At 35.3% G+C, this 11,714-nt stretch overlaps 1 annotated feature.

The window, feature by feature from the left end:
• Positions 11,069–11,238: an enhancer, noted in NCBI's record as "experimental_35524 CRE fragment used in MPRA reporter constructs". NCBI's record gives its function as "activates a minimal promoter by MPRAs in K562 erythroleukemia cells, with activity observed for both the introgressed and non-introgressed 14:66901073 variant alleles {active_cell/tissue: K562}" and the evidence as "EXISTENCE:reporter gene assay evidence [ECO:0000049][PMID:34662402]".

Here is an 11,714-nt window from a genome sequence, read left to right as displayed (position 1 = left end):
TCATTTACTATTTTTTCCCTGTTTTACTGATTGGGAATATGAGGCACAGAGTTCAAATGATGGTACACAAAGACCACTTTATTTTGTAAATAGCAGAACAGACTAAATCCAGGTTCTCTAATTACAAAATCATATTGCCCTTCTTACTTGTACTCCTGTTTTTGTTGTTGTTGCTGTTGTTGTTATTGTCTCTCGTCTCCCTTTATAATTTCCAAAGTCAGAAATGACAGAAACGCTGGAGGAGTGAGGCTGGGGGTGGGAGGTGAAAAAATGCTTTACACTGATGGGTAGAAATTTTGTTCTTACAGATATGATGTTGAAAAGGAGTAGGAAAAAAATAAAAGCAGTTTATGCAGAAATGTGAATTCAAACAATAAATGAACAGATACATTTCATACTTGAAACAATGAAATAGCTAAAAACCTTAAACTCCTTTTCTCGGTAGTCTAGATTCCTAATCTACCACCTGTACTGAAGATGTCATATCATCTGGTGAACTTCCTGTAAAGATCATCTGACTAAAAAGTGTTTGCCAAGTTCCAGGTTATCACAAGAGCCACCTTCATCTCAACATGAAAAGGTCCTTCATGGTCATCAGAAATCATGACCCAGGGTCATTTAATGTGCTAGTTCCTTGTAAGTCTGGGTCACAGCTCCCCATCCATGCTGATGCCAGTGGATTTTGTAATGTTCATGTGGAAACAGCAGGGAACAGTTAGCTGGATTCCATTCTGCCTCATGCCTCATCAACCAGATGGTTGGCTGTATCAAAGCCAGTAATGCTGATGTCAGAGGCGAGAGAACACAGCTGGATTTTCAGGTTCAAGGGGAAAGAGGGAATCTATAATGCTTAAAGTTTGGGAGAAAATTGCCTTTGGACTGGTGAGTAGAGCCAACTAGAACTGATGGAGAGTTTTTAATGTTAAGTCCTGCAGCAACATTTCTGTGTAATTGCTTTTTGAGCCGTGGTAGGATCCCAATCCTCTTTATCTCACACCTGCTAACAGGCCTGCTGGTGCCAGTCAGCTAGCTATTGTGTACCAGATCTAGATGAGATTTTAGCACTGACATATTAGCCTCCCACTAACTCCTGGCTACTACTGTGTATCTTCTCTTATCCCTGGATTTCTGGTGACTAGCATGAAACCAAAAACTACAAGGATGGAAAATAGCTTAGAAAACCAGTTCCTAGAAACTTGATGAAGATTTTATTTTTTGGTATATCACTATAATTTTGCACCTTGACTAAAAGAAAGGTAATACATAGCCTTGTTTTCTGGCTTGATCATGCTAGGGCTAGGAGGAAATCTAATTGTAGGCATATGGGACAGAGGAGGCTGGACAGAGCTGTTTCCTTACTACTTCCTTACTAGGGCTCATACAATGTAGAAAACTTGAAAAAAGGGACTCAGGTCTTTATTCTCTCACAGTTGCTGCTAAGATGTTCATTGCCCAATTGTACTTGTCCCATTTGAATATGAATACTTCCTTACAAAATTTTGGCCATGGCTCCAAAGGCCCTGGCACATGCTACCCATGTGTTACCACATCAGAAGTCTTATCACTTCTGGGCCGCTGCATGGAAAAGGGGTTCAAGTCGTCTATCCACACTTGAAATAAACAGTATTCCCCTCCCTTCCCCAAACTCTTTCTCTCTGTAGGAATCTCTCTCTCTCTCTTGCCCTCTCTCTCTCCAGAGTTCAGGCTGTTAATCCCTGTTTCCCAAGTACCAGCTTCTTCCCAAAGATCTAGAGTGAGGTTGGGGTAGTGGGAAGGGTGTTGCCTTCAGGGTCTCTTCTGGAAAACAAAGAATCTACTACAATAATTCCCACAGATCAAGGGAGACTGATCACAGGGACATGATTATTCTTGGAAGGGAGGAAGGATGAGGAAAATTTCCCTTTTATTCTTTGTTATTCTTTGTATTCTCCTACTGCAGTAAGAACGAGGTAAAATAAATATCTCAGTGAATCATCCTGCCGCAGATGAGTAGGTGACTTGTAGGTTATTGAGGTTCAGTGAAGACTTGTGGGCTGTGAACACACTTATCTGTGATTAAATCGAGTTTGGGAATGTAGGACCAGAGAATGATTGAGCAATGATTTGCAGATGAGTGCTTGATCCAGGAGGATTCAGGCAATACTTCATTGGGGCAATAAATGTGACATTTGGTGTCAGGGGAATAACAAATCCAGGGAGGGAGGGCTATTCAGACCTAAATGTGCAGGGCCAATAAACAGTATTTCTGATGCCAGGAGTGCCTGCATGTAAGTGTGCATAAAATGCTTAAGCAGTAATCCCTCTGTGATGCTGCAAAAAGGCAGTTTTTCTCACAGCTGCAGCAGCAAAAGGGGTGCCATGGATTTTAACCCCCAGGAATTAACCTATGTAAATGACTTCTGGGTAGCAGGAAAGATTTTTTCCAAAAAGCACTCAGCCCAGAAGTAGCTCTTTTCTTGCCAACATTCTGGGTGATTTATACAACTGTTCTCACTGAATAGTGCAGAGAGAAGGGATTTTGCAGCAGAACGTGATTGTAGAACTGGAGGCAAGAGATGTCCCCTGAAGTTGTAATAATTGCACAGAGGCAGAGTGAAAAGATCAGCTGGACCAAGACAAAGACATTTATTTTAGCCGTAACAGCGTGCTGATGTGATGGACTTAATAAATAATGCCTTGGCTACATGATTTTTATTACTATCTATTATTTGTAAATAATAACTAGTATGTGCTTATTGTATTTACGATATATTACAATAATGTAAAGAAAAAAATAACATGTATTAAATAGTTACAATTTTGCTATGTTCTATGGTATATTTCAAAAATGTCTACAAATTTGTCCCCTCTCCATATCTATACCACTGATGGTAACTTCCTATACTAACTCTGGGCTAGGCAAGTATGACTTGTATTGGTAAATGAGAAAAATAGCAAATGTAACACAGGTGGATTTTAAAAGTGCTTGAGTAGTGGAGTTGCTCTGTTGCTGCTCTTAGATGCCTGAACAGTCCTGTGAATAAGCCCAGGCTACTCTGTGGGAGGATTGGGGCACAAGATCTACTTACGTCCGTCATTAGAGCCAACAATGAGCTAAACTCCAGAAGCAGGATGAATAGTTGGTCAATGATGGACTGTATACACTGGAGTAAGCTGCACTGAGACCAGGGGAAGAAACTCCCAGAGAAGCACAGCCCAAACTGTGACCTACCCAATTGTGAGCTAAATAAATGGTTCTTATTTTAAGCAAATAAGTTTTGGAATATTTTGTAATACAGGCTTGTTATGCAGCAATAGATAATTGATATAGTTCTTTACACACATATAGTTCATTTAATGTTCACAACAGCCCTATAAAATTGATATTATTATCACTTTCATTTTACAGATGAGGAAGCAGGGGCAAAGAGGGAATGAGTACATGAATCAGTCTCATACAGCTTGTAAATGGTGGGACCAAGATTGAGACAGCCTGATTCCAGTGTCCATGCACTTAACTACTATGCGTGATTAAACATTAATTTAAGTATTAATTAATTATTAAACAAAAAAACAAAGCAAAACACCTGTCCTTTAAAAATGATTAAATTATTTTATTAAAAAAATTACTGTATTATGTATGATGGATTATTACGTAGGTATGATTGACAGACAAAAAGGTATACATACCTAACGTATAAAACTTAATGAGTTTGAAGATAAGTATACACCTATGAGACCATTATCACAATCTATGCCATAAACATATCCACCACCTACAAATGTTTCCTCCTGGCTTCTTTGTGTATTGTTATTATTATTATTTTGTGATAAGAACACTTAATATAAGATCTACCCTCTCAGCAAATTTTAAAATATTAAATACAGTACTCTTAACTGTAGGCACTACACTGTATAGTGCATCTCTAAGACTTAATCATCTCATCTAACTGAAACTTTGTATCCTTTGACTAATACTTTACCATTTCCTCCTCACTCAAGTCCCTGGTAACCATAATTCTACTCTTTTTCTATGAGTTTGACTGTTTTCAATTTCTCATAACACATGGCATCATGTAGTATTTGTCCTTCTGTGTCTGGTTTATTTCACTTGGCATAATGTCCTCCAGGTTCATTCATGTTGTTGCAAATGGCAGGATTTCCTTCATTTTTGAGGTTGAATAATATTCTTGTGTGTGTGTGTGTGTGCGTGCACACGCCTGTGTGTGTGTGTGTGTGTGTATATATATATATATACACGCATATATTTCAATTAAACTTTACACCTGTGTAAAAAATGTCTTATATTAAAAAGAACCCCTCAGGGAACTTCTGGTCATGATGGGATAACAAGAACCATATTCACTCACCTTCCTTAAGCAGCTATAAAACTGGACAAAGTAGATGAAACAGTAGGTTTCAAGCATTAGACAAGTGGTACGGGGCAGTTATCCCTGAGATGAAGAAAACAAATGAGGTGACCCTACAATTCTAACAGTTCATTACCTAGAAGGAATTTCTAGAATGCAGCACAGGGAAGGGAAACCCACACAGAGACGGACAGGCTGAGTTTAAAAAGCAGAGTTGGCAGTTTAGACAGACCAAGGTGGCTAGAGTTTGCAGGGCAAAATACGAGAGAGGTGAGACCTGCACGGAGAAGGATCTTCTGGTATCTCCAAAGAGAACCCATGCGTCTTTGGATGATAAATTATCTGCTTATGTATGTAAGAAAATTACCTAAAGTCATGTAAAGAACTCTGGAAAGGAGTAGGTAGATTGTATAGGCCTGGAAATAGTTGGTGTTCTCACTAGCCAGAGTGGTAAGACCTCCTAATATAAAGAGTCTAAAGTAGAATCTTTGGAGAGGTATAGCCGTAATCATGAGGCCAAATTAACCCTAGATTAAAAGTTGCTTAGAATCCACACTAACAAAACTTAAGAGCAAAATAATGATCAAAATGATTCCAAGTAACTTAAGTTCATCCCAGAACAAACTTGGCAATAGTTAAAGAAATATGACATACCTATACCCAACAACAAAAACCTCAGAATGTCCTACATTCAGCAAAAATTACCAGACATTTAAAGAAGAAGAAAAGTACTACTCATAACCAGGAGAAAAATCAATAGAAGCATATCCAGAAACCACAAAGATAATGGAATTATCTGACAAGGACATTAAAACACCTATCTCCATGTGTTTTAGAAGGGAGAGGAAAGCATAAAAATGATGAAAGAAAGGCAAGATATAAAAAAGACTCCAAATGAACTTCTAGAAATAAAAAATACGGTGTCAGAAATGAAAAATAAGTGGGATTAATGGGTAACTAGAATTTAGCAGAATAAAAGATTAGTGTTTATGAAGACATCACAGTATAAACTTACCACAATGAAATATACAAAGAAAAAATGTCAGTAACAAGAAAATCAGTGATTTGCAGAACACTATTAGGTGATTTGCTATACATGTAGTTGGAGCCCAGAAGGAGAAAACAAGAAGGAGGGATATATACATATTTGCAGAAATAACAGTAAAAAAGTACAAATATGATAAACTCTGTAAGTCCATATATCCAAGAGGTTTAATGTATCCCAAGTAGAAGAAGCAGAAGAAAACCACCCAAGGAACTTCTGAAGTCCAGTGACAAAGACAAAATCTTAAAGCAGCTGGAGATAAGTTACATGAAGAGGGATAAATATATAAATGATAGCATATTTCTTGTTAAAAAAACACGCAACCAGAAGATAATGGAATAGCATCTTTATAGTATGGAAGGGGGAAAAAATCTGTCAACCTAGGATTTTATACCCAACAAAAATATCTTTCAAAAAATAAAGGCAAAAAAAAAGATAGTCCCATTTTTAAAAAAGCAGAGCAATTCAGCAGCAGCAGACTACACTGCAAGAATGTAAAACAAAATTCTTTAAGCAGAATGAAAATTAGACTAGATGGAAATATGAATCTATGTGAAGACATGAAAAGGACTGAAAATGACAAATATATAGGTAAATATAAAGGACATTTTTCTCATTTAAATACTCTTTAAAAGATGACTACTTAAAAATAAGAACAATATGTTTTGTGAATAACAATATATACAGAAATAAAATAACATCATAATAGTATGAAAGACAGAAGGGGAGAAATGGAAGTGTACTGTGTTAAGATTCTTATGATATACATGAAGTATTATAATATTTTTTGAAGGTAGATGTGATAAATTAGAGAGATATGTTTAAAACATGCGAAGTTTTAAACAATTTCTAAAATTTAGAAAAAAGTTTAACCCTGGTAATCAGTAGCTACCAGAACTGGTTTTATACCTGTTTAATCAATCAGCAAGTCACCTCAGCTTCAGCGCCTCACTGGCGAAGTCAGTCAATCTAGGATGAACTCTACAGATGATATGTTATCATCTGTATGGATATCAGTAACCATACTTCTATGGATGATGTCAGTCTTGATCTAGTTTTTCCTCTTAAGGTCTGCCAATCCCTGAGCTCCACACTTCCCTTAAATAAATATATAATCAGTCATCTGCTCTAATTTGAGATACTGTGTCTGTCTAATCAGCATGGCCCTTCTTTTCTCATTTTTTTATTTGAGGTATTGAGTGGTGTTCTCATTATCCCTTAACAAATCCTAGAGCAATAGTAAAATAAAACAAAGAGATATAACTAATAAGACCATGATGAAAATAAAGTGAAATTATAAAAATAACCAATTACTCCAGAAGAAAGCAGGAAAATGGAAAAAAGAAACAAAGGATAATTGGGACAAATAGAAAACAAATAATAAGATGCTAGATATATAAAGCCAACCATATCAATATTCACACTAAATATAAATGATCTAAAGAATCCAACTAAAAGGAAGAGATTGTCTTATTGGATTAAAAATCAAGTCCCAGCTATATGCTGTTTCTAAGAAAGCAACTTTAATGCTAAAGACAGATAAATTAAAAATAGATAAAGACATAATATGCATGCACCACTTTAAAGTAAGCTGGGGTGATTATATTAATATTATATAAAATAAATTTCAGAACAAGGAATATTACTAGGGATAATGATAAATTGATCAATATATGAAAAGGACATAACAATTACAAATATGTATGTGCATAATAGCAGAGATTTAAAATACATGATACAAAAACTCATATAACTGAAGTGAGAAATAGAAATCCATAATTATAGTTGGAGACTTCAACATTCCTCTCTTAATAATTGATGGGAGATGTATGCAGAAAATCAGTATAGAAGAGTTTACAGATTACAAAATAATCTATGTGGAAAATCCTAAGACCTCTCCAAAAAATGACTAAAACTTGTGAGTTCAGCAAAGTCACAGCATACAAGGTCAATATGAATTGTGTAAACAATTGGAAAACGAAATCTATTTATATATACCATCCTCATTTTAGCAGATTCTGTACTTTGGAATTTGCCTATAGTTTTAGGCAATTTTAATTTATTTGTAACCCCCAAATGTATACTCCTGGCACTCTCACACTCACTTGTGGACATGCACAGAGCAGTGAAAAATTTAAGTCACCTGATGCTCATATTCCCTGCTGATGTTGAACAAGATGATGCTCTGTCTTCTTATTTCATCTCTCATACTATAAACAAGTGCCCTTTTTGTGCTCTATTTAATGCCACTTTTTGCATAATTTTTGTTTTTTTGGGTGGTTTTGCTGTTCAAAATGTCCCCCAATCATATTGCTGAAGTGCTGTCTAGTATTCTTAAGTGCAGGAAGGTTGTGATATGCCTTACAAAGAAAATATGTGTGTCAAATAAGCTTTGTTCAGGCATGAGTTACAGTGTTGTTGGCTATGAGTTCAATGTTAATGAGTCAACAATATATAAGAAATAACATGTCTTTAAGCATAAATATGCATAAAACAAGATTATGTACTGATCTGTTGATAAAAAGATTACCAGAGACTTGCAGGAACCTTATCTTTATTTTCCCTAGGAACAATGGTTTAGTATTTGCTAATTCAGGTTTGTGGAGACTTTATAGAACATAACTACTGTGCATAATAATAATTTAGGGTACTTACAATGAACAATTAGAAATTTCAATGAAATCAACACCATTTGTAATAGTATTAAAAACTGTGTAATATTTAGGAATACATTTAGTAAAATATGTACTAGTCCTGTACTCTTAAAACTACAAAACATTGTTGTGAGAAATTAAAGAAAATCTAAACAGTTGGAGAGATATACCATGCTCATGAATTGGATGACTCAATACTGTTAAGATGTCAAAATCTTAGCAGGCTTTCCTTGGTAGAAATTGAAAAATTCATTCTAAAATTTATAAAGAAACAAAAAAAAATCTAGTATAGACAAATTTTGAAAATAAAGAACAAAGTTGGAGAAATTATAGTGTCTTAAAATCAGATACATGGTGCTTTGATTTTGGCATAATGATAGAAATATAGATAAACAATAAGACAGAGGGTCTTTGCATGTTCTCATAAGTGGAAGCTAATCAATGGGTACTCATGAACATAAAGATGGCAACAATAGACAGTGAGGACTACTAGAAGAGGGAGGGAGGAAGGGGGACAAAAGTTGAAAAACTAACTATTGGTTACTATGCTCAGTACTTGGGTGATGGGATCAATTGTACCCCAAACCTGAGCATCACACAGTATACCCAGATAACAAACCTGCATATGTGCTCCTGAATCTAAAATGAAAGTTGAAATTATTTTAAAGAAAAGAATAGAGGGTCTAAAATTAGACCTCGCCAGATATAGTCAGCTGATTCTTGACAAAGGTACCAAGGTGATTCAATTAGAAAATATAATCTTTTCAACAGATGTGCTAGAAAAATTGGACATCTATTAATATATGCAAAAGAACCTTTTGCAGGTACAATTTGGGAGAGAGTTACTATAGGAATGGATAGTTGGAAACAAGATTCTGAGTTTATGGAGCCTTGTAGGATGAAGCCTGAAAGAGGCCTCTTCCTGGTATATTTCAACTCTGAAGTGCATTTTTTTGTACCTCAAGTCTGAGATGACTTATGTTTCTGAAGACTGGTGTTATTAAGTACATAGGTTATTACTCATTAGTTTCAATTGAAGAGCTACCTCTCCTCTGGTACTTAAGCAGCTAATCTCACCCACACATGTCTAAGGTACTCGTAATAGAGAATATATTTGGAAAATGCTTAACCTTTGACTAGAGATCTAAGTATAGAAAACGGAGATATGTTGAAGGCATAAGAGAGAGATCCACTTCATATTTCACCGGATATAATTCTGAGTTTAGCAAACCCAGCTTGTTTAATGGTTTTATTACTAGATTAGCCATAAACTTGAATACTTTGCCTACATTTTCCTTGTTGACTTTTTCCATTCCTTAGATGTAATTTTTCGGTATGTTTATATTGTAGTAAAATATATATAACATAAAATTTATCATTTTAAAGTGTGCAATTCAGTCACATTAGTCATATGTCACTTAATAACAGGGATACATTCTAAGAAATTCATTATTAGGCTATTTTATCATTGTGCAAATGTCATAGGGTGCACTTACAAAAATCTAGATGGTATAGCCTACTACATACCTAGGCTATGTGGTATAGCCTACTGCTTCCAGGCTACAAACCTGTACAGCATGTTACCGTACTGAATAGATACTGTAGGCAATTGTAACACAATGGTATTTGCATAGCTAAACCTTTCTAAACATAGAAAAGGTAATGTATCACAATACAAAGTTACCACAGCTATGACATCACTAGGTGATAGGAATTTTTCCACTCCATTATCATCTTATGAGAATACCATTTTATATGTGGTTTCTCATTGACTAAAACATGATTATGTGGCACATGACTGTAATTACATTCACAATGTTGTGTAATCATTACTACTATTTCCAAAACTTCTTCATTACTCCAAACAGAAACTTCATAACCATTAAGCAGTAACTCCCCGTTCTCCCTCTCCCTAGCCCCTGGTAAACTCCAGGTTACTTTTTCTGTCTATGAATTTGCCTATTCTAGATATTTCATATAAGTGGAATCATATATTAATCCTTTTGTATTTAGCTCATTTAACTTAGCATAATATCATCAAGGTCCATCCATTTTGTAGCATATGTCAGAATTTCATTCCTTTTTATGACTGAATAATATTCTATTGTATGTATATAACAAGTCTTGCTTATCTATCCATCTCTCGAGGGACATGTGAGTTGTTTCCACTTTTTGACTATTGTGAATAATGCTGCAGTGAACATTGGTGTACAAGTATCTGTTTGAGTCCCTATTTTCAGTTATTTTGGATATATACCTAGGAGTGGAATTGCTGGATCATAAGGTAACAGGGCAATTTTTTAAAAGCATAAATAATGAGTAACAATTGCAGAAGAATTAAACTGTAAAGATAAGCTCAAAGAAAGAAACAAAATCTGCCTGTTAGCAATAAATCATTTTTCCTGTCTTGTTCTGTGCTTCTTACATTGTATAGCATAATGTTTAAATGTAAAGTTGGGCACAAATGGTACCTGAAAGTAGTTTTTGTGATAATCTTCTCTTTATAGTTTATACTGCTAGCTACATGCTCAAAAGTGAGAAGATTGCCTTTCTAAGCAGGAAAAGAGTAGAAGGAAATCATAACTAAGGTAGCTTCAGAATAGGGTGAACAACTTCTCCCAGTTTGCTGGGGACTTTCTGGTTTTAGCATTGAAAGTCCAACATTCTCGAAAGCCCCTAATTCTCAAGCAAACTGATGCAGTAAGTGACTATATTGCAGAGTCTGCCAATAACATATACAGGAATACCTCAGATATATTGCAGGCATGGTTTTGACCACCACATTAAAAGGACTATCACAATAAAGTGACTCATACAAATTTGTTGGCTTTCTGGTGCATATAAAAGTTATGTTCATACTATACTATAGTCTGTTAAATGTGCAATAGCATTGTCTAAAAATAATGTACATATCTTAATTAAAAATACTTTATTGTTAAAAAATGCTAATGAGCATCTGAGCTTTCAGCGAGTCATTATCTTTTTGTTGGTGGAGTGTCTTGCCTCAGAATTTGATGGCTGCTGATTGATCAAGGTGGTGGTGACTGTGGCAATTGAACAAAGAAAGACAGAAATGAAGTTTGACATACTGATTGACTCTTCCTTTCACAAAAGAGTTCTCCATAGCATTTGATGGTGTTTGATAGCATTTTACCCACAGTAGAACTTTCAAAATTGTAGTTAATCTTCTCTAACCCTGCTACAGCTTTATCAACTAAGTTTATGTAACATTCTAAATCCTTTCTTGTCATATCAACAATATTCATAGCATCTTCACCAAGAGTAGATTCCACCTCAAGAAACTACTTTCTTTGCTAATCCCTAAGAAGCAACTCCTAACTTGTGAAAGTTTTATAAAGAGATTGCAGCAATTCAGTCATGTCTTCAGGCTCCACTTCTTATTCTGCTTTCTTTGCTGTGCAGATACATCCTTCACTGAAGTCTTGAACCCCTCAAAGTCAACCATGAGGGGTGGAGTCAACTTCTTTCAAAATACTGTTAATGATGACATTTTGACGTCCTCCCTTGAATCACGAATGTTATGAACAGCATCAAGAATAGTGAATTCTTTCCAGAAGGTTTTCAATTTACTTTGCCCAGATCCGTCAGAGGAATCACTATCTATGGCAGCTATAGCCTTACAAAGTGTATTTCTTAAATAATAAG

This window comes from Homo sapiens, chromosome 14 (genome assembly GCF_000001405.40).
Source record: "Homo sapiens chromosome 14, GRCh38.p14 Primary Assembly".
Taxonomy (NCBI): Eukaryota; Metazoa; Chordata; class Mammalia; order Primates; family Hominidae; genus Homo; species Homo sapiens.
The sequence above is the reverse complement of the archived record's forward strand: the minus strand, read 5'-3'. Positions and strand labels throughout refer to the sequence as shown.